General features: G+C 39.9%; 1 protein-coding gene across 7 annotated transcripts in view; it reads right to left on the reverse strand.

Annotated features, from left to right (window-relative positions):
• Positions 1–24,887, reverse strand: part of GRIN2A (glutamate ionotropic receptor NMDA type subunit 2A) — a 429,505-nt gene that overhangs the window by 59,474 nt on the left and 345,144 nt on the right. For all 7 annotated transcript variants that reach the window (NM_001134408.2, XM_047433994.1, XM_017023173.2 and 4 more), the window contains 3 exons: positions 21,228–21,353; positions 16,546–16,775; positions 9,387–9,547 (listed from right to left, as the gene is read on the reverse strand). In NM_001134408.2, coding sequence (NP_001127880.1) covers positions 9,387–9,547; positions 16,546–16,775; positions 21,228–21,353 — 517 coding nt within the window. The remainder of the gene's footprint in view (positions 1–9,386; positions 9,548–16,545; positions 16,776–21,227; positions 21,354–24,887) is intronic.

The raw sequence follows: 24,887 nt of genomic DNA on the forward strand, positions 1-24,887 counted from the left end.
AAAGGCTCCACAATTGTGAAAGAAGAATCATGCATTAAGCTCTGAATTGTGCGGTAATCCAAGCAAAAAGAAAACCATAAGTTGTTATAAGAATTGTGTTGTCAACAAGATCAAAGCGTGCCTCAAACAGAACAAAGCAATGCTCTTCATCGTACAGAAGTGTGAGGGATGCTACAGGACGACATTCTCCACAAGCTGTCCTGTAATAACCGTATCAGCAACCTTTTCAAAAATAACTATTTCTTGTAGTACCCTTCAGTGCTAGTTAAGGCATGATGAAAACACAAAGCAGTAAAAGCTAAATTAATTAATATTCCTCTAGCTCAATGAAATTATCACCTGGTCCTTAAATGTGGAAACTAAACAACAGAACTGTCTACTTTAATTGAGAAAAGCAAAACAAATTTGCATATGCACCGACTCAACTTGTATGAATTGTATATATGCGTTGACAATACAAGAATGAAATGCAGGAAAAAATAGAGAATTATAGTCAGAAGAAACTTTTTTCTAGCTATTGCAAGTAATACTGTGTTGCTGAAAATTTGTTAAATGTAAAAAGATGTAAAGTCCATCATCCCAATCACCTAGCAGCATCTCCGATAACATTTTGATATATTTCTTTTTAGTCTGTTTTTTTTGCCTTTTTTTTTTTTCCGTCTCTGAGTTTAAAGAATTATGATCTCACTTTATTTAACTCCTGCCCCCCACAGACATTTTTTTCTACTTTAAAAAAAGTTTTTATAGGTGGCCTTGAAAATCCTTTAACGTTGTTTTAATAGAGCTTACCAGGAAATAATTCCAAGAACCCCACCCCCCCGCAAAAAAAAAAAAGATGTCTGTGTTTACTTGAGTTTTTATTAAGGAAAAAACTTTCTAACTCTATGATGTGGAAGCAATTATTTTTGAGCTTTGTTTGCAGTGTGGGGGTGGATCTCAGAAACCAGGTCATTGTTGATCTGATTTTCTCTGGAGATGACGCTACCCCATTTAGAACAGCTCACTGAACCCTGATGTCTATGCCCGCTTTCGAATTCAGCAGCTGGAAATGAACCATTTGTGTCTGATTCTGTTTGACTGATAAAATACAGCAAATAAAACCTGCTCAAATGGCATCTTTGAAAAAATTTGCTCTGCAGAGCAACTGAACCTCAGTGACAACCCTTATACTCTCCTGGTTTACCTTTGCCTTGGGAATGCCAATATCCCTGAACCAGTTTCTTTTGAGCATAGAAATGATAATGCTGTGATTTTATCAGTTCTCAGATCATCAATTAATATGATATGTACTCTATAATATATGCACATATGTAATATCTAACTTTAGTTTTAAATTCTCCCCTGAACCATAACCCCGTATTTCCAACTGCCTAGGTGGCATTTCCAAGTGGGGAAGTAAGCCTAACTTCTATACTTACTAATTCTGCAATGTAGTTACTTAGCTGAATAGCCTATTGGGTAATTAGGTTAACATTGTTGAGCTTCACATTCTTCATCTCTTAAAAGGGATATTAATGGTACCCAGATCGTAGGGGTGTTGTGAGGATTAATTGAGATTAGGCATATGAAGTGCTCAGGTCTGTAGCTCACTAATTGTCAGGTCACATTAAGTGCAAAGATGCCTGGACATATGATGATGGTGTTCCAAAGGCACTTCCAACTTAATATGCCTAAACCTAAACTCACATTTTGCCACATCTCCACCCATCCTGCACCCTCCTTCTGAAATATCCTCCCTCTTCCTTGTCCTGTTTAGTCACTACAGAACTCCATTTCTCAATAGTCAACTAACTAACCTCTCAAAGACATGGACTACCTACATCTGAATCACTAGAAGCACTAATAAAAATGTACCTTCTTGGCCGGGTGCGGTGGCTCAGGCCTGTAGTCCCAGCAATTTGGGAGGCCAAGGCAGGTGGATCACCTGATGTCGGGAATTTGAGTCCAGCCTGACCAACATGGAGAAACCCCATCTCTACTAAAAAATACAAAATTGACAGGGCATGGTGTTGCATACCTGTAATCCCAGCTACTCGGGAAGGCTGAGGCAGGAGAATCGCTTGAACCCGGAAGGCAGAGGTTGTGGTGAGCCGAGATTGTGCCATTGCACTCCAGCCCGGGCAACAAGAGCGAAACTCCGTTTCAAAAAAAAAAAAAAAAAAAGGTACATTCCTAAATCCCACAGGCTTTGCAAACCTGTGCTCTAGGATAGGAATTCAGTGCTCATTTGTTTTTCAATGCAAAACTTTCTATGAAGACATTTCAAACACATACACGGAGATGGGACTACACTGTTCTTTTGTTTTTACAGACATGTCACTGAGGACAACTCAAGCCTTTTAGAAAAATATTTATTGGTAAAAAGACAATACTCCCTAAATTTTTTTTTAAATGTGCATCAAAAGACACTATCAATGTAATAGCTAGAATATAAAAAGGTAACCCATGGAATAGGAAAAAATATTTGCAAATTGTATATCTGATAAGGGATTGATATCCAGAATATACAGAGAACTCTTAAAACCTAACAACAACCAAAAAAAAAAAAAAAAAGAAAACCCAAACAACCCAAATGTAAAATGGCCAAAAGACTTGCATATCCACCTCTCAAAAGAATAAATACAATTGCCCAATAAGCAGGTAAAAAGCGCTCGATACCACTAATCATTAGGGAAATGCAAATCAAAACTGCAATGAGATACCACCTCATACCCAGTGGGATGGCTACTATTAGAAAAACAGAAAACAACAAGTATTGGCAAGGATGTGGAGAAATTGGAACCCTTGTGCACTGTTGGTGGGAATGCAAATGGGACTGTGGAAAACAGTATGGTTGTTTCTCAATAACTAAAAATAGAATTGACATATGATCCAATTATTTCACTTCTGCATATATACCAACAAAAAAAACCAAAGTCTCAAAAATATATTCACACATCTACGTTCACAGAAGCATGATTCAAAATAGTTAAAATGCTGAGACAACTCAAGTGTCCATTGAAAGATGAATGGATGAGCAAAATGTGGTACCTGAATACGATGAAATACTGTTTAGCCTTAAAAAGGAATAAAATTTTGGCACATGCCAAAACATGGATGAACATTATGGTAAGTGAAATAAGCTAGTCACAAAAAGACAAATACCGTATGATTCCACTTAGATGAGGTACTTAGAGCAGTCAAAATCATAAAGACAAAAAGTAGAATGGTGGTTGCCAGGCGCTAGGGAAAAGGGGGTTGAGGAGTTTTTGTTTAGTGGATAGAGAGTTGCAGTTTTACAAGATAAAGAGCTTTGGAGACAGATGGTGGTAATGGTTGTACCACACGATGAATGCATTTAATACCACTGAACTATACACTTAAAAATGTGAAGATGGCAAATTTTACTCTATGCATATTTTATCACAATAAAAAATACTGGGAAAAAAGACAATCCTCTCTTCCAATTCTTCTAACTACTGCATGTAAAGGAAACCAACAGAGACCTGTTTTTTAACATTGTGCTGAGAATGAAATCGCACAGGGGACTGGGGATCCTGAGAGCTGAAAACTGAGGCTTCTAAGGAAATTGGGACTTTTCCATAAATGTATACACCCAGACTTGTACATGAAAATCAATTAAAAGAAAAACACAAACTATCCCACTGTGTCTTGAAATATTAGGCTCTTCGGAGTTCTAGGGACGTTGTTTAATTTAAATCTGGCATATGTGCGACGCTTGCAGTTTTGCCCCCATGCCAAAATGGCTTGGAGGACATCAGCTTCTGATGACTGAGCATTTGTAAATCTAAATCTGTCTCCACTCATTTCAGCTTCAGCTCCCTCTTCTAGAGTGGATGTTCTTAAAATTTGATTAGGGCATATCGGAGTCACCTGAAGAGCTTGTTAAACCATGCAGATCTTCAGACCCCTCCTTACAGAGATTCTGATTCAACTGGCTCAGTGGGGCTCAGCAATCTACATTTTTATTAGCACCTATTCTGATTCAGACTCAGGCTATGCTTGAGAAGCATTAGCCTAGAAACCTGGGGTCACTGACGCTCATCCACCTTTGGTTCACAGGAGTCCCACAAGGCACAACAGATCTGTGCCTGAAAAATCCCATCTCTGTTGATGTTTACACATCAAACCCTTTTTTCTCACTGATTTGTCTGATAATTTCTTTATCTCCATTTATTATGAATTTCAATAAACAGTAAAACTTAGCTTTCAAGTTTTTCTCTGCCTATGCCTTTCTTCAAAAAATTAGGGATTCCAAAGACAAGCATTTGGCTTGTCTACTCTGTATATGCCTATCCCAATAAAATGTGTTTCTTCAACTCCTTTAAAATAGTAGTTCTCAGCTCTGTTGCACAATGAATAGTGTGTTGGACTTCTAAAACAGTAGTTCTCAAATATTCGTGTGTCTCAAAATCACGTGGTGTGGCGTGCTGCGGGGAATGATGCTTATTATAATAAAGATTCACAGGCTCCATAGCTAGAGAGAAAGCCTTGTCCTGGGCCCAGGAATCTGCATTTTGACAGGTAATCATGTGATTCAGGTACAGTTGGTCCATTGGCCAGGCTTGGAGGCACCCAATTTTGGGGCATGATTCTAAATCCTTTCTGCAAAACTGACAGTTGTTTGCATATGTGGTTTGTCTGAGTCTTCCTAAGTGTTTGACACAGATAAAAGAATCTCATGAACTAGTTTAGAGATCAAAGAATTCAACCATTTCACTTCTTAGATGGGGAAACTAGAAAGTGACTTGGAGAGGTGACATGACTTGTCCCAGGACACAGCTAGCTAATGCTCGAGTCCAGACTCAAACCCAGCTGGGACTGTCACTTGACAGTAATCCAAAGCCTGTCTGGTGTTCAGGACTCTCCCAGAAAATTACAACCCACAATTTCACTGACCCTGGTGTGCATGCACGTGGCTTTGCTAGGCAGCAGATGTTACTGAAACGTGTGGGTGGAGCAGTGAGACCCAGCAGCTGAGCCACATGCTCTGGATGTTCTAAGTCAAGGCTTGCTGGATTCTAGGGTGTTGGGGGAATGTTCAAAAGCTGAGCAATTCGGGAGCAGATGAGGTTACCTTCTTCAACCTTCCAGAGGGATGGAACCTTCTACAGATGCTGGTCGTGGTAAAGGACGAGAATGACTTTTTTTTTTTAAGGCTCGGTGGTAGGTACAAGAAGATTTCATTGTATTATTATTATTCCTTAAACAGCAATATATTTCATAATGAAAATTTTAAAAAGGAAACAGGAGATGTGAAAAGGAAGGAAAAGGCCTGTGAGTGTGGTGACGTGGACACCTGAAAGACCGCAGTCTCGTGGTGGGACGTTGAGAAGACACAATCAACACAAAGTTGATCGGATCTTGGTGTAGCTCTGTGGTGGTAATTCTCATATTCTGGTTTTCATAATCATCTGAGGAGTTGAAGTCATGTCTCATACCACCCACCAAGAAAAATTCCAAATATTAAAAAATGCAACCAAAAAAGAAGAAAACACGAGGTAATTATCTTGTAATAAAGAATGATGAAAGACTTTTGAATTACGTCTCAAAATTCAACAGCCATAAGCAAATGGTTGATATATTTCACTACAAAAAAGATAAAATCTGCATGGAAAAAAAAAAGCAAGCTCAAAAGACTAAAAAAGAAATAGGGAAAATATTTGTAATCACATCACAAAAGGCTCATCTGTCCAATATATAAATTAATAAGAAAAAGACCAACAAACCAATAGAAATATTAATAAAAGTAAAAAAGGAATTGCCGATGGCTCTTAAGTATATAAATATGGCCAAAATTTACTGAGAAAAGTGCAAATTTATATCTCAGCATACTTTTTACCTATTAGCAAAATTTTGAAAGATTAATTACACATTGTATTGGCAAAACTTTGGAGAAATAAGCTCTCTCATGCACTGATGGGGTAAGTATGAATTTCCTTTGGAGGGAGATTTGGCAATATCTGTTAAAATTGCAACTGTGACCCACTCTTTCAAGAAATTTATTCTACACTGAATGTGACGCAATACAAAGATATTCACTACAGCTTTGTTTGCAATAGCAAAAGATTGGAAACAACCTAAATGTCCAACAATAGAGGCCTGACCAAATAAAATATGGTATATTTGCATAATGAAAGATTATGACTCTATAAAAAATAACTTTATGGCTTTTTATGCATTAATATAGAAAGATTCAGAAGAACATATTGGAAGGATACACAGAGTAAATGTGGTTACCATGGAGGGGTACTAGATGAGGAATAGTGTGCAGGGAAAACTTTTCACTGTTTTTTTCTTTTTATGTACTTTTTTATTTTTGACGTATATAAATATCTTATCTATTCAAAATTTAATTTAGGCTGGGCATAGTGACTCACTCCTGTAATCCCAGCACTTTGAGAGGCTGAGGCAGGAGAATGGCTTGAGCCTTCTGAATTTGAAATCAGCCTGGGTAACACGGCAAAACCTCATCTCCACACGAAACACAAACATTAGCCAGGTGTGGTGGTGCTTGCCTGTAGTCCCAGCTACTCAGGAGGCTGAGGTGGGATGATTACCTGAGCCCAGGGAAGTCCAGGCTGCAATAAGCTATGATTACACTACTGTACTCCAACCTGGGTGACAGAGTGAGACCCTGTCTGAAAAAAAAAAAAAAATTTAAATAATTAATCAAGGAGCCTGTTAAACATGTATGTGGTTTCCCCAAATATTAACTCCAATGAAATTAAATCTCCAGTAATGATAACTGCTGTGCTTTCATCCCTAAGAGTATATTGAATTATTTTTTAAAAAATGACTTGTGGCTGGGTGCAGTGGCTCATGACTGTAATCCCAGCACTTTGGAAGGCCAAGGCAGGAGGATCACCTGAGCTCAGAAGTTCAAGATGTGCCTAGTCAACATGGTGAAACCCTGTCTCTACAAAAACACAAAAATTAGCTGAGTGTGTTGAGAATCGTTTGAACCTGGGAGGTGGAGGTTGCAGCGGGGAGAGACTGCACCATTGCACTCCAGCATGAGCAACAAGAGCGAAACTCCGTCTCAAAAAAAAAAAAAAAAAAAAAAAAAAAAGACTTGTACTCCTTCAGCTCTAGTTTCTGAGTTTAAAGTAACAATGCAAAGCATCCCCCACATGGGAGATTGAGTATAGAATGAATCTGCCATCTGCCCACGTTTTCTAAGATGGATGTTATAATTATTATATGGCTTCCAGAAACCAATTTGTACAATTTATGGCCACGAATGGTTTCCATTTCTCTCCTTTTTGCTATTATATTAAAAAAAAGATTGAAAAAGAAAGAAAACAACCCATTTTGTGCTCTGGTTAATAAATGGAGGGAGAGAAAGCCAGCTAGGCATCAACCACTGTCTCCAACCATTATCATCTGCATTTGTGCGCATGGTCTGTCCAAAACAACAGTATATGTTGATTAAAAGACCACAATGGAAACAAACAAAAATCCCAAACCCATGGCTAAACTGTAAAGTCATCAACAATTGGTCTTTTCAGGTATCTGTGAAAGTGGAAGACACAAATATTCTATGGCTCAGCAGTTGCAGTCTTCGGTGTATACCAACAGAAATGCGCTCACTCATTAACAAAAGAAGCATTATTCATAATGGCCCCAAAATAGGACATTACCCAAATGTCCATCAAGATTAGGACAGAGACATCCATGTGTGCTGCATTCCAGCAATGAGAATGAAAGCACTGAAATTACATGCAACAATCTTGCAAACACAATGTTGAGCCAAAGACGACAAAAAAGAAAAGAGTGTGGCTTTATTTCTATGTTAAAACAGCAGGCACCAAGAATCTACGGCTTTAGAAGTGCAGGTGGCGGGTGGAAGATATTGACTGGAAGAGGGTGTGGGGCGGGGTTCCAGGGAGTGATGACCTGGATGATCAGTTTGTACGAAGCCATAAAGCAGCATATTTAATATTTGTGAATTTTCTGCATTTTTGTTATACTTCAAAAGTTTAAAGAAATCATTCCAAACCAGAATGAGCACTGTGGGAATGAGTTTTTCAGAAATCATAGACTTAACTTCTGAATAAATGCTCTCCCAGCCCCTGCTGAGATGCCAAAGACATTCCAAAGGCACAGACTGAAAGGACAGAATGCTCACAGCCAAAACTACCGGGATTTCTATGCAGAAATCTGGGCTTTGATGCTTTAGAGGGGCCTCTGTCTCCCCCTACCAGACACAAAGCCAGCAGCAAGGCCTTCACAATGGGCTTGCCGAACAGCCGAAAAGGAGGTTATTTATTAAGCCACAAGGAGAATGCACCTACAGTCATGTTTCCATGCAGGAATCTGTGACAACTGAAATGCCCCATATGAGCTAATTTTCTGGATAATCAAAATCCCCTCATTAAACAACTCTGTCATTTAAAATAAAATCATTTTTATTGGATTTAATCCTTTCTAAAATGGATTTCATGCATTCCTGGGTCTACATCCAGGACACACTCCGTGCTTCCTACGAGAATGATTCCTAGCAAGACTTTCTCCCAGAGAGTTCCACATGCAAGCAGAAAGAAACCAATGTGGGCTTTAGCAAAGGAAGGGGTAGGACAGACGTCTCCATTGTCAGCAAGACCACAGAACAATGGACTTTTCAGAAGAGTCCATGGAATAGAATCTAACCTTTACAATAAATAACAACACTCACATTTAGGTACTGTCTATTTCCCATCCAAAAGGCTTTCCATCAGATTTTCTCTCTTAGGTCCTATTATTATTCCCATGTTAGATATGAGGCTATGAGGTATGAGAAACTCTCTCTCCAAAGCCTAAACTCCTAACCCCTGTGCTATCTTTTCTTTACATCTTCAGCTATGGAGTCTGTGTTACACTCCACAATGCCAACAGACAGAGAGGAATGCTAACTGTAACTTGAATGATTTGAGTTCTCATTGCTTTTCTCCCATCTTTTCTTTCTCTTTCATCAATGTTATACAATTAGTTTTTTCATAAAGCTCCTACTAGCAAGCTACTCCTCCCCACACTCAGAAAACCTCCTACCTAAAATCTGATAAAAATCTTTGTTTTCACTACTTTAAACTCTTGGCCTTCTTGGATCTTTCTATTTGTTAAAATATCCTATGGAGTTGGACAAACTTCTTTATCAGTTTAAGAAACCCCTCTGTTTCTGTGCATTTCAAAGCATCCTGGATTTGCTTTTTCTTCACCCAACTCAGAAGGAAACCTGGGATGCTCATTAGATTAACAAAAACTGCCCTCAACTGGGGCCCATCTGGACCACAGTCACTCTCCAGAAATACAATGGGAGCAGATAGGAACTGAGGCATGCCGAGAGTCAATTTCTGTAAGGTTTATCGCTCGCAGACCTGTGGTGAAAAGGAAACTGCCATCCTTACCCCGTTTTCAGGCTGACCAAGGCGTCCTCTACTCCTTTCTGATTAAATTTGGTCATGTACTGATGCATGTAGGGATAGTTATTCCGAATGTTTCTCTCCGTGCTTCCATTAGGCACTGTCCCAAATCGAAAAGGTGGGGAATAGTCATGAGGTCTCTGAAACTGGAGAGAGAACGAGAAAGGAAGAGAGAGAGTAGGAAAAGAAAGAGAAGGGAGGAGGGGGAGGAGAGAACAAATAATAAATTAGTGATCATTTTGTCTGGTGTTAGGAGGTAAATGCATGCATTAGGGCAGGATGACAATAAAATGTTGCTTTTTGGTCTTTCTTTCTACTTAGTCACATCTTCAGCCAGTCTGTGAGCTCCAGGAGGGTGGACACAGCATCTGTTTTCTTCTGTACTACTGCTCAGATCCTAGCACAGAGCCCGGCTGGGTGCTCCATAGGTATTTGTTGAGTTGAACTTTTCAGTGCCATTACAGAGACTAGCACAGTGTTAGGCACACAGTCAGTACTTAGAAATGCTGAATGAGCTGAACTTAAGGTACTACCTTAGTCCAGTCCATTTATCCACTTTATGATGAAATTTTCTGTGATCTCCACCAATCACTCCCTTCTCTAAACTCCATTTATAATTACCTTCACCTCACCCAGAAAATGACTATATATTACCACTCATTCATTCTCCACTCACTCAGTCATTCATTCACTCCTGCAGGCACTATTTATCTAGTGCCTAACATTCCCCAGGCATAATTGCCAGTGCATGGCAGGCTCCATGAATACTTGTTGAGCCAGAGTCCCTGTTGATCTTTAGCTATCAGGGATACGCAGCACTCGGCACTCAAGCCCCCCATAAAGGCCTGTAGTCCATGCATCACCAGTCTTCTCTGATGGATTGGATGATTCTGTCTGTCCACAGCTTCGATGTTTCAGGTGACTCAATGAGAGTCGAATCAATAGAACTGGATCTGAGTTCCAGAAATACAGCTAAACACTAGAGATGGTGGCGGGCTGTGGTTATAAGCAGGAGCTCGAACTGGCTGGTTGGAAAATTGGGTTCTATCACATACAAGCTATGGAACCCTAGATAACACATTCACTTCATGCTGCCTCCATTTATTTTCCATCTGTAGAGTGGGGGGCCACCATGAAGATCTCAACATACATTTGTCAAGTAACTGGAATAGTGCCTGGACCAGAGAAAGCATTCAAAAATAAAGCTATGATTACCGTCTGTTATTATCATTATGAGTGAAAAAGGAACCTGAACCTCATTTTTCTATGAAACATTGAATTCTGGAACTAGAAAGTAATAACAACAATGACTAACACTTTTTGGGAACCTAGTTGGGTCCAGCACTATGCCAAGAACTTTACAAACGTCAGGTCATTTAATCCTTACAAACCCATGCCAGGTAGTTAATCTTAGAGGCTGCTTCTTGCAGATAAGAAAACTGAGGCTCAGAGAGGCTATGTGATCTATTTAAGATTATGCAACTACCAAGCAGTGGCCCAGAATTCAAACCCGGATGCGTCTGACCACAGGCTGAGGTCTTAACTCTATCATTCCTCAGAGACCATTGCTATTGACTCTCTCCTCATCTAGACATAAAGATTTAAAGACCCCAGGAGGGGAAGAGCACCCAGAAAATCAGTGTCAGAACCAGGACCACAATGCAGCAGTCTCTCCAACTTCCAGACCAGTGTGTCTTCCACAGAACTAAGAACCGCCAGGGTAAGTGTCCAAATTTACCCAAGAGTCAAACCAGCTAGAAACATTATTCTTTTTTCCAGACTCACACTTCACTTCACTGTTAATTAAAATTTCCAGTTGAAAATCGTTTTCCCTAAATTAGGCATGCTGCTGCCTAATATGCAGTCATAACTGGATTTGGGAGAAGTGGCCATCCATTTTCCAAATGAGATCCTCCTGCCAGGGTGTGCCTTGCCCTGGGAGTATGTGCGTCCACGTGTGCATGTGTGTGTATGTGAACAGCAAAATGCTTTTTGCAGTCACTCCACCAAGCAGTGCCTTAACTAATCACCAAAAGCTCAAAAGGCCAAGCCCAGGCTCATCCTCATGGCAGCCGCCTGCTCGGGAGGAGAGAGGTAATAGTGCTGTTCATAAATCTCCTTGTAGCAGCCATTCCCAATCTCCAGAGATATCCGGAGATGGCCTATTTGACTAAATGCCTTCCACTTCACTCCCCGTCTGTTGCAGAGGAGCTGCATAGGTCTTTAAAAATTCACTTTCTTCCCTGTGTCTGGGTTGCACAGTAACAGAGATAGATATTCAGTCTCTGTGATGGTTTCCGTGCTTCTCTGGCCTGGATAGTACCATCACCCACACAAAATTCAGCCTGACACCAAGCTCCAGGAACCTTTTCCACTAGACTGAAGACTGTCAAACTTTTTAAAGCATGACTCACAATACGTTTCCCATCACCACTCCATGCACATGTGTGAAATTTCACAGCACTCATTCTTTCTATCTGTGATATACTCTGAGGTTATCCATTATGTTCTATTTTTTTAAAAAAATGTCTGCAATCCTTAGATTAATTTCATGGCTCACTAAAGAGTCATGACCTACAGCGTGAAAAACAGTGAGGGGGCAAGGATGGCTCATCTATTAAGTCCCAGGGTCTACATCCAGGACACACTCCGTGCTTGCTGCGAGAATGATTCCTAGCAAGACTTTCTCCCAGAGAGTTCCACGTGCAAGCAGAAAGAATCCAATATGGGCTTTAGCAAAGGAAGGGGTAGGACAGAGGTCTCCATTGTCAGCAAGACCACAGAACAATGTAATCACAATATCTGGAGTCAGAGGAACTCCCCTGGCTTCTCTGCAGGGTTCCCTTGCTGTGTAGGTTAACTGGTTTCACCTGGCTTTGGACTTACAGGAGACAAGTTCAGGTTCTCATCTGCTGCTTAGAAACTGCGCCATTTGGAGCAACCAGTTAAGCTCCTGAGCCTGAATTTCTCTATCTGTAAATTGGAGATTGCTTTTGCAACAAATCTTATAGTGTTTGAAAGAACACCTGGCATCCTCTAATGCTTGGGATAGATCACCTGTTGTTACCCACGACATTTCAGCCAAACAATGAAGCCTGTCTCCTTACAGTTTGGAGAACAGAGGATTATTTTCTAATTTTTTTTCCATCCAATATGGAGGCATGTCTGAAGGTCATCCAAGTGACTAAAACATGGCAAGTATTTGATGATGGAGGAGGTAGAGATGCAACACTTGGAGATAAAATTTCCAGAAAAATGCAGCAATTAACCAAGATATTTTTTCTTTTTTTGTGAACCAAAAACTACCCATTTATTAAAAATATCTATCTGTCTTCTGTGCCTGTAAATAAGGGACATCTGGCAACTGGAGCCCCTATTTCTAGTACAGTCTTCTGTTGGTGAAGTCCCACGTGCTTCTTGATGTGAGCAGCAAGCAGGTGTGTCCTTGAGCAGAGAGAGGATCAGCTGGGAGGAGGCCTGGCTGCCTGAACTGGGACCACTCAGCAGCAGCAGCACAGTGCCCAGAGACAGCATGGCTCCTTGAGAACACATTCCTGGGCTCATCCACTGAGAGCAGTTGCCTCAATTCCCTCCATTGGTTGTCACAAAAGACCAACTCAGTGCAATAACATTTCAGGCCCCAGAAGCCAAGAATGGTTTGAGTCAGGCGATGATGAAGATGATGGAAGGAGTAGGAGGAGAAGGGAGACAAAGAGAAGGAGAGGGGGAGGAATGAGAGGGGGGAGTGGAAAGGAGGAGGGTAGAAGAAGGAAATAACACATTACAGGATCATCTACCATGTGCCAGGCATGGTGTGAGGATTATTTCTAATCCTCCTATCAACCTTGCCAGAAAGGAGATAATGTCTTCTCTTTTATAGGAAATTAAGCCTAAGGGGATACTGACATACAGAAGGCCAATCATATGGCAAGGCCAGGATTTGAACCCAGGTCCATTTGACCCCAAACATGATATTGCTCTTCCCACAACATAAATCTGCCTCCCAGAGATGGATTTCCTCTGTCAGAGTGATTCCCAACATTTTGGAAAGCATCCCTATCAACATTGCAATTTTCTCTTAATAATTCCTAGGGAAGCATCTTACCCATGAATTCACCTATTTATAATTTAAGTCCCAGCTCATCTGAGCACACCATGGGCTCCAATATGATTATTTCACAGCAAGCACTAATGGCTTAAAAGCATTGTAAACCTGAGTTGTTACACAGGTATTCATGATAAACAAACAACAAAAAAACAAAAACAAAAAACAAAAACAAAACCAACCACAGTGTACAATAAATTGATTCAATATTGATTTTTTTTTGCAGACTTTCTTGGTGTATCTTCTATTAATCTTCTGGGAGCATATAGGTTATTTACTCCAGGAATTTTGCTGTTTATCTCATTGTATCAAACATTTAATTAAAAGAGCTATCAGCTTGCCTCTAATGTTTTCAGCATGGAGACTGAGCTTTGTCTCTTGAGGATATGGTATCTGTTACTGGGTGTTTCCAAGTCAGTGAAGGTCAGTCAAATTATTAGTGGTTTTAATTAGTTTTCCCACAAGTGGTCATGTTATTTAGACCCAAAACTATGTAGTAAGGATTTCCCCCCGCCCTTGCCTTTGAACATAGCAACAAAAAGCAAAATATGCTGCCAACCACTTTCTTGAAAAATCCTCTCTTCCAGGACATTGCTTCCTGCTGCTTCCACCATACCTCCAATCACTTCTAGGAATTGCACTTTTGATCCCATAATGCGACAGACTTGCACAATAGCGCTTCATGTCTGCAGAGGGATTCATATGCTACAAGATACATTTACATATGTGGCTTTCTTTCATCCTTACTGCAATTGTGACTCCCAAATTTACAAAGCAGACAAAGCAGGCACCGTGAGGTGACATGGCTTTAAAAACATTATACGGCTGGCTGGCGAGTGGCAGAGAGGAAACAGGCAGAGAGGAAACACAACTTTTCTGACTCTAAACACAGTGTGTTATCTGCTGCCTCTGAGATACCACCCGCTTTAGGCGGGGATCTTACAGTAGCTGACCCCAAGTGAAGGATTTGGGGGTGAGCATGATTTACTAGTGAAGGGTTCCAGGAGAAGTCAGCAGGGGAGCAGGATAAAGTTAGGAAAGACTGGAGAAGGGGGAGAAATCAAGGGTCTGATTTAAGGCCAAGTCTCCATCTCAGTCCCGTCCTGCAGGGAGCTCCAGAGAGTGATTCGTACCTTAAAGTTTTTCCTGCTTCGAAGCAAGGGAGCAGCTTAGCCTTTGTATTCTCACACAGATTAGTCTTTGGTTACAGGTGACCACAAAGATTGAGGGAACTTAAATTGCCAGGCATTTACCATTCCAGTGCCCAAAGGCAAAAATCTGCTGAGGATCCCTGAAGTGAGGCTTTGTCAGCAAAGCACAGAAAGGTGGGGCTGGGCACACAGCGCTGCAAAAGGGATCCCAGGAGATCCAGGTGGGGTATGCACAGTGTCCAGTATACCATGCATGTATTCATTCACCCAGCAAGAGTGTCCTGAGCACCTCCAAAGTGCAAAATAACTCTATCAAAACTACATCCCTGAGGGCCTCTTCCCCCAGACAATTTTAGTCTCATCAGCTTTATCTTCTTTATAATACTTATTCCTGCCCCAAATTTCCAAATTTGTTTCTTCCTTGATGTTTACTTGTGTATTGCTTATTTTTTTCCTACTAGAATTTAAGTTTCTTGGGAGCCTGAGCTCATTCTGCCAAGTTTATTACAGTAGCCAGGAAAGACTTCCCTGAGGAGGTAATGTCTTCCCTAAGGCCAGAAATTCCAGGAGGAGCCAACCATGAGAAGATTGGGGAAGAACATTCTAGGCAGAGGGCCTAAGAGGCACAAGGACACTGAGCTGAAATAAACTTAGTGACAGGGATGGAGCAAGAGGAAGGAAACGTGGGAGCAGGTGAGATAACACAGGGCTTTGTGTGCCATGGTAAGTAAAGTGACCCTTACTCAAGCCTCAATCGGAAGCCATCAGAGAGAGGTGAGGCACTCTCATGCCTTTGTGGAAATGACTCCATCTTTAACCCCAACCCCTCATCAGCTCTCTTGACAAGATTCTTTCAACCACAGTGTGTATCATGGATAAGCTGTAAAAGCTTTCCATGGATTGATTTTCTATTCAGCAGTTTGTTGATGAATGGCAAAAGGATATATGTAGACTTATGTCAAAAAGATATGTTAGCGAGGTTTTATAACGAGAGACAAATTATCCCCACACACAGAACAGAAAATCTTTGTGGTGCTGCAATCTCAACACTTGCTGAGCTTAGCAAGTCAGGATGTTTCCTGAACTAAAGTCTCAATAGGAGGATGCACCCAGTTTACCTCTTTTCTTCCTCAATGTGTGTTTCTGAATAGCTACTCAAACCCTGCAACCCTTGTTATATTTCATTTCACTGGAGAATGAGAGAGCAGGTGTTTTTACTCCTGTCTTACTGATGTGGGAAGTACAGCCCTATAAGGGAAGATTAGTGATATATCTGAGTAGAAAGAACCAGTGGGAAATTAAAAAAACAGAAAGAAAGAAAGAAAAAAACTCTCTGCTCCTTTTGTGTGCCTTGAAGACATTTCAGGTGAGTCAGAAGCGCTGATGCTGAGACTGATTTGGCTGTATGGAAAAGAGGAGCTGTCAGATAATTTTGTCTCTGGGTAGGGCTTAAAGATGACTTTTTTTCAGGTCATAGATGAGGTACCCACAGCCTACAGTGCTCCTTCACCCCAATTTCTTCTCATCCAGGAAAATGGGCCTTCCTTAACATCACACATTCGAAAGGATGAATTTCAACCTAAGCACTTGAGTCATAGGTCATTCACAAGCACCATCAGAAAGATCATATAAATAGGAAACACGACCACTCGGGGAAGCCAGGCTTCCAAATTAGATCTGGAATCTTTTAGGTCTAGGAGAGCTAACCTTAATGTTCTGTTTCAAAAACTTTGAGAAAGAGGACAATTTGAGTTAAAGAGAAAAAACCTTCTGGCTTTTGTGCATTCGAGTTGATGGATCTCAATGAGAGGCACCTGAATCTCTTCCTCCTGAAAGGAGAGCAGTTAAGACCAACCCTCAGATGGAGAGGAAAGCAAGGTGACCTTACCTTTTTGTCACTGAGGCCGGTCACTTGGTCCACAAATTCCTCTTGGATCATGAAGGCAGCCAGATTGGCTGTGTAGCTAGCCAGGAATATGACAGCGAAGAAGGCCCATACAGATACCATGATCTTGCTGGTGGTCCCTTTAGGATTCTGGACAGGCACGGAGTTATTGAACACCAGGCCCCAAAGAAGCCATATAGCTTTTCCAATTGTAAAAGAAGGCCCATGGGGTGCTGCAGAAGATGAAAAGGACATTCTCAGCATTTTCTGAAAAAAATGCCTGTTTGTGTATGACAACCACGCAGCAGCCACCAGCAGCACCGAAGGTTGCCAGAAGATGGAATTATATCATAGTTGTGTCCTGTGATTGCCCTAGAACCACAATAACTTATTTTTTTCTTTAAAAATTAGCATTCTTCTCACATTTCTATCTAACTGGATTTTTGCCACATTTCTTTAAAAAAAGAAAGGAAACGAAAATGGTTATGCAAAATGGGGGTTTGAATAAGTAGTGTTATGACCTGTTTTAAATTTGGATTTGATTCCCATTTGAGGAAACCAGCCTTCTTAATAAACATAAAGAGAGCCTGACAAAAATGTGTGCATGGGGACTGCTTCCAAATTCATCGGATGTGCTATCGTATAAGAACCATGCAATTCAGCGGGACTGATGTTTGGTATTCTAATCCGATTGTCCCTAGCAATTGCTCCTGTTCAAACTCAGATGTAAAGTGTGTACAACATAAGAATTAAACCAAACTAAAACCCTCTCCAAATGGAGACATTAAGGAATGGAACAATAGATCTTAATTCTTCCAACACTTCACAGATGGAAGACATTTCATTGCAGGGTCATGGAAAATGAACACTGATGTCATATCACAGCACTTTTTCCAGTATATCCTCGCAATAGCTATGCAGCCCTTTTAAGATTCTTAAATGTTCCTTGCAACAGACTTAACTAAAGAGACAGAATGATATGCCAAAATTTATGGCGATGGGGCATATGCAGGCTGTAAAACACACATATTAGGGTTTTCAAGTCTTTGTTCTGCATGGGCAAAAAAAAAAAAAAAAAAAAATCAACTGATGCCCTAATTTCATAGGGAAGGTTTCCCTTTAACAGGAGGTTAATTTTTATGTCATTTAAGTAAATGAAGATATGAAAAAATGATCTACTCAGATGTCACCTGCCAATATAAGCAGAGTGGGCAATAAATAAAGTGGCAGAAGCAAATTCACATTAATGGAAGTTATGAAGTGCTGGGCAGGAAGCCTAGGAAAAGCAAGCTCTCTGCACATTGGAGGCCAAACCCAGGCTACAGCTGTACTTATAATATCCATGACACAACCCATTAAAGAGAAAGCAGTTAATTCTCTTATTCTCAATCTCTCCTGTTTCTATTTGGCTAGTTTTGTGATCTTCTGGGCTTATTCTCAAGAGGCAGGAAATTCTTGGGGAAAACTTAGAGTTAATCCAGTCAACTTTATGAACGATTTAGTTTTTTTAGGGATGCACACTGATCAGAAATGACAGCTATTTAGGAATCAGATGTAGGCAGTTCAGAAGGATCGGTCCAAGACTTCTAGGAATTCCTGATTCATGAATACTATGACTGGGCCATATAACTTTTCCCATAAAGTGCAGCGAAATGTAACAGAAAACCATTTTGTACAAAGAAACAAGTAGCTGTCATTTCCCAAGAGTTGCCACAGCAGATGAGCTGGAAACAGAGAGCCTGGAGAGAATGGAAGGGCTGAGGAGTTTGCACAACTGATGCCATCCTTTACAATAGTCTTTCCAGCATGCTTCAGGCAAAGGAGAACGTATTGCAAGGATGGGCTGTGGGTGGTTTTTACCTTCCAAAATGTAACTCAGATTTACCTGATTATCTGTATTTTCGTTGTTCTTGACAAGTTCCAAGTCATTGCAGTCCTTTCTCTTGGAAAAGTGACACCTTCTTAACTGCCCTCCCCGTCCCCGCTTCCAACTGTTGTCCCCACACACTATCTGGATAGAGTAGCCCCAGTGACCTTTTTGCTCTGTACATGTATGTCACCTGTCTCCCTGCCATTGTTTTTTTTTTTTCTTTTCTTTTTCTTTTTTTTTTTTTGAGATGGAGTCTTGCTCTGTCACTCAGGCTGCAGTGCAGTGGCACAATCTCGGCTCACTGCAGCCTCCACTTCCCGGGTTCAAGGGATTCTCCTGTGTCAGCCTCCCGAACTGCTGGGACTACAGGAGCATACCACCACGCCCAGCTAATTTTTGTATTTTTAGTAGGGATGCGGTTTTGCCATATTGGCCAGGCTGGTCTCAAACTCCTGACCTCAAGTGATCTGCCCACCTCAGCCTCCCAAAGTGCTGGGATTACAGGCATGAGCCACCGTGCCTGGCCTCCCTCCATTGTATTTTGAAGAAAGTCTGACATGCTTCCCATGGTCAATTGCCTATCTCTCTGATTTCATCTTATACTATTGTCTACCTCATTCACTCACATCTTTTTATTTTATTTTTTAATAGAGACAGGGTCTTGCTCTGCTGACTAGGCAGTGCAGTGGTGTGATCATAGCTCACTGCAACCTAAACCTCCTGGGCTCAAGTAATTCTCCTACCTCAGCCTTCTGAGTAGCCGGGAATACAGGCACGCATCATCACGCCAGGCTTATTTTATTTATTTATTTATTTATTTATTTATTTATTTATTTATTTATTTATTGTAGAGATGAGGTCTTGCTATGTTACCCAGGCTGGTCTCAAACTCCTGACCTCAGGCAATTCTCCTGCCTTGGCCTCAAAAAGCCTTGACATCACAAGTATGAGCCACTGCACCCCCTCAGCCTTTTTCTGTTTCTTGAGCATCTCAAGATTATTTCAGCCTTTCTGTTTGCTGTTCCTTTTACATGAAATGACTGTAACTGTTTTTGACAGATAAAATTGTATGTCACCCTTCAGGTCCTAGCTCAATGAACATCCTTTCCCATTGGACCATCTTATCTAACGTAGTGTCTGCACCCCATCACTATCATGTCACTATGTTTTTTTCTTCTTCTTGATATTTATTATAATCTGTTATTATTAGTTTGTGTGTCTACATGTTATTTTCACAACTAAATTCTAAACTGCCTGATAGAAAATCTCTATTTGATTTACCACATTATCTCTGGCAGCAGTATAGTGCCTCCTGGCACGTAGTACCCATTTGATAAATATTCATCAGAAAATGTGTAAATTCACAACAGCACAAGCCCTGATTATGCAAATATAAGGAACTACTGTATCACAGTGTGGTCACTCACAGAAACTGTCTCAGATTCCACCCTGTTGGAAATCTTCTTAGAGGTTAAATTACCCTTTAAATGAAGGCTTGCAATCTCCCATTAAACACAACATCATTATTTATGGCATTGTTTAGTATCTGGTTGATTGAAGATGGTTTATGTGGTAATCACCACTCTTCAATGGTGAGGAAGAAGTTGAAAGATTTCAATAAAACTAGGTTCCTAATAGATTCCCATGACCTGTTGAGTATTTCCAATATTAAAACATCTAAGTGAAAAGAATATGTATCCATCACATTAAAGTGCTCTGCTTTTTGGGGGATATGAGACTTCAAGTTCCATCCTCTACCATATCAAGTCATTTTTTGGGAAAGAGATTTGGTCCTGACACTTTTCTGATAACACCCATTTAGAAGGTAGTGCCCACTGAGGAAAGCCCACTCAAAATGGCATAACGTGTATGACATAAACCCTGGCTAGAGTGGGATCCTTTTAATGAGTTATAGCTAACGAATGCCTCCCAATTTTATTTCCTATCTACTGATTGTCCCTTTATCAACTACAATGCACTAAGATCAATGCATTTTATTTTAGCACACTTGATTTCCTCCTGGCATCACCAACAGGAAAATATAACCCTATGGGGAAATATATCACTTCATAGTTATATTTATTGTCAAACTAATGTAAATTGATTCAGTAGTTTGAGGAATGTTCTTAAACTAGATTTTATAAAGTCATTTTCTTTGCATAGACTGAAGTTGAAACCCATGACAATTTTAGCATTTGACAAGCATTTTTTAAATTAATTGTCAGAAAAGTTCCTTCAAATCTGCTTTCCCAACAAATTGAACATCAGTGGTTTTCACCTAACAACTATTGACTTCAGGTTATGACAAGATTAAAATATTTCATTTTGTTTTATCCATCAGTTGAAGTACATAAACCATACTTTTCTGGTATTACAAGCAATATCAGTGACCCAAAACCATTCATACAATGGTACACCAACGCAGTATAATGTATTCTTTGTGTGTGTGTGATTGAGTCTCGCTCTGTCCCTCAGGCTGGAGTGCAGTGGCACAATCTCGACTCACTGCAACCTCTGCCTCCTGGTTTTAAGCGATTCTCCTGCCTCTGCCTCATGAGTAGCTGGTATTACAGGTGTGTGCCACCATGCCCAGCTAATTTTTGTATTTTTAGTAGAGATGGGTTTCACCATATTGGTCAGGCTGGTTCTGAACTCCTGACCTCATGATCCACCCACCTCGGTCTCCCAAAGTGCTGGGATTACAGGCGTGAGCCACCATGCCTGGTCTAGAGTAATGTGTTCTAAAACTGAAATTTTCATTAAAGGTAAATGAAATTGCAACAACATTGAATCATGCTCATGAAGGTACCCTTACCTTTCCCTTTGGCTAAGTTTCTGTTGTATCCAACAGGGCTGAAGTATTCAAAGACAAAAACAGCTATGGCAGAAACAATGAGCAGCATCACAAACATCATCACCCAGACAGAGGCGCTGAATGGTTCTGCAAATAAACAGATAAAGGAATGGAAACGTGGTTAGTTATCTCTTCCTCACTTCCAGCAGGAAGCCCAGACATCCATTTGCAGGCTCGCCAAAAATATTTTCTCTAATTTGAATCTGATCCTTCAAAAGAAGCTAATCATTTTTTATTTTTATTTTTATTTTTTAGATGTAGCTTCACTCTCTGTGTCACCCAGGCTGGAGTGCAGTGGCACAATTTCGACTTGCTGCAACCTCCGCCCCCCAGGTTCAAGCAATTCTCCTGCCTCAGCCTTCCGAGTAGCTGGGACTACAGGCATGTGCCACCATGCCTGGCTAATTTTTGTATTTTTAGTTGAGACGGGGTTTCGCCATGTTGCCCAGGCTGGTCTCAAACTCCTGACCTCAGGTGATCTGCCCACCTCGGCCTCCCAAAGTGCTGGGATTACAGGCGTGAGCCACTGCTCCTGGCCAGCCAGACATTTTTTATTCATCATTTTAAATCATTCTTTATTCTACAAAATATTTGAAGTATAAGATTGCATATAATATAATAAAAATAGAGAAGAGCATAGGACATTTTACAAATTAGGTCAAGGATAATCAGAAGAAAAAAGAGTGATAAGAAAGAGGGAGCAAGTTAGAATGCAAATAAACAGGCCATAGTTTCCTTTGTAATTATAGAACCATCCAGGGGGCTAAAGCTAGGAAGAAAAAAGACTAGACCCAAATAGTAAACCATAGGCTCCTGCAAATTGTTATGGTTTTTATTTTTATTTTTTCATGCTAGAAAGATGATATGCAGGGAATTCCAAAAATAAAGGGAGAATTATAACCTGTTGGAAAAGAATTATAAAATCATGGGTGACAGAAATATTGGAAAGTTATAATCTACCACACTCTCCATTTCACCTTTTGCCTCAGATAGATGAGATTCCTACAGCTTTATTAATCTTGTTGATGTTGGTAGCAGCCTTAAATGCAATTGAAAGTCAATTGAGGATATTATCTTCACATGATAATTCAATAAAAAAGCATCACTTAAAGGGTAGAGGCAATAAAATAGTAGATGGATAGATGGTTATTTCCACTAAAAGTAGTTTTCATCAGCTCATTTGCATGTAACTTAGGCAGTAGGTGGATGTCTTAGAAGGGCAGGCCAAGTCATAAGGCTCTAAGCCTTGTAACACTCTAGAAAGGTAAGAAATATTATGTAAAATAAGATTACTATTCAACTTGATTGAGGATATGAAAATTAGCTGACTGCAGCCATTTTATTTATGGTATAGATTTGCTATAAAATCAACAGAAAATAAATTTTAAAAATGAATACATCTCCACCTGAATGTATCATGGGGAAGAAATTGCCTATAGACACCAATGAACTTAAAACCCTTTTCCTCATAAGCAAATATTTTCTGAGGGTTAAAATAAGTCCAATAATACTTCTTGAATAGTAAACATATTATTATTTTAAAATTGTTTTCCTAGTGAAGCTACTTATAATAATAAAGAGCTAGGTTGATAGCAGGCCACCTTCTTATTAGAGTATGACTACTTAACACAGCTAGAGGTCACCACAAATTCCAATTTAATGAGTTTAATGTATAACAAGAAACTAATATGTCCGAACTTAACTTTAGCTATATTGGATAATTTAAAAGCTGGGAGGAATGCTTTCTAATGCATTTGATAGTGCAAATATATTAAAAAGCAACAGGTAACACAACTTACTTAAGTAACACAAGATGCGCTCCAAGAAATCAATGAAACTGCAACTGAAATTTATTTTAACTTTAGCTTGAGTAATAAACAATATTATGTCCCTGAAATAATAGCAATTTAATACTGAGTTGTATCCAAAAAGGAAATTAGATAAATAAATGATTAGGAGATTTATAAGTACTTCATATTCAAGAATAGAGATAAAATAATTCTCCGAGTTGCGTAGTGTGTCTTATTGGAGGAGGATCATTATGATGAGCAAATAAGCATATACATGAAAGTGTTTGTTCGTGTGTGAGGCACACAATATACAGACAATATACTGAGTGGAATAGCTGTGTGATTCCAGGATTAAAGCCAGAAATACTGGGGCAACAATACGCTGTCCATGGTTCTGAAAAGGGCGTGCTGGTTTTTGAAAAAGCACATTTATTAATCTGGTAACGTCTATTTCTCTGCAGGCTGTGAAAACATTATTTTTAAACATTAGAAGGGACCATAACTGAATTATCCTATGTGCATGTAAGAATCTGTAAACCTGCAGTGAACTTTTTTTGGTAGGTGCATCCTTGTCACTAACACGCTAGTCAGAAAATCAAGTGGAAACTGATGAAGCAACTGTTCCCACATGTCTCCCCACTTGGAATTGACCACATCTGTTCCTTAACTTGTGAGCACAGCACGGATCAAAGGACTCTGCTGCAGTAGTCTTGTTTTAGTAAATTAAGTACCTATCAGTGCCCTGAAGGGTTGCTATTCTAAGATACCACACACGTGAATGCACACACATGCTCCAGAACAAAGAAACATCGTTAAAGCAACATCTATAGTGTCTAAGGAGTGACCCAGAAATAGTTTAGATAACTCTCTATTACATCTTCTAATGGCTTAAAACAGATTCAACATTTGTCCATGAAGGAACTGCAATCGAGGAGATACCAGGTCAGCATTTCTTTGGATCAAAGAATCCAACTTGTTTGGAAACTCTTCAGAATTAACTAGATAGAAATATTACAGGAGATGCCATCTCTGTCCTTGAAGAGCCACTGGTTACATTTTTACACAAAAGCTTAGAGGCATTACCTGCAAGTGCTTCTGATGTGAGTTAATGGAGTTTGTGGAGGAGAGAAAATAGGAAATAATGAACAGCAATAAAATCAGATTTTGAATGTTTTGGCTCTTCCAGATGACTAAGCCAGTGAATGGAAAAATGTAGCTTAGCTGGTTCATTATGACTTTCAAAATCTGTAGATAATGACCGTAAATAAGGGGGTGCACAGTCAATCAAATAGGGATGTAATTTAGTGACTAGGAAAAATATTAAGCCTACTGGGTAAAAACAGCTTTGAAAATAGTTTCCTCTGGTTACAATTTATTTTACTTTTAAAAATGCAGCAGGAAAAGTGTGGGGAAAGAGAGGTTTTGCTAAATTTAGCAAAATACTTGACATTTTTATGGAAATGTTTTACAAATGCAAGCAAGATAAAAATCTAGAGAAACTGGGTTGAGGCCAGATTCAATATTCACGACCCATTTTCATAAGACAAGCCAATTGATATTTTTTTCTCTCTGATTGAATTGGAAAAAGAGTTCTCTCTAGCTCACTAAAGAGATACAAGACTTTTTTGTGTGAAAAGAAACAATTTCTTTCCATTTTGATCCATGAACTCACTTCCTCTAACCCTTTCTTAACCTCCAGGACAAAGGATTCCTGCCAAAGAGTCTGAAAGGGAATGAGGGGAAACATGACTAGGAGTGACTAAAGAGTGAATGTCCACTTAAGAATTATTAAGATTCTGCATGTGTTGTCAATATCAGCTGGTTGCATTGT

The sequence above is a fragment of the Homo sapiens genome, chromosome 16 (genome assembly GCF_000001405.40).
Source record: "Homo sapiens chromosome 16, GRCh38.p14 Primary Assembly".
NCBI classification, from domain to species: Eukaryota; Metazoa; Chordata; class Mammalia; order Primates; family Hominidae; genus Homo; species Homo sapiens.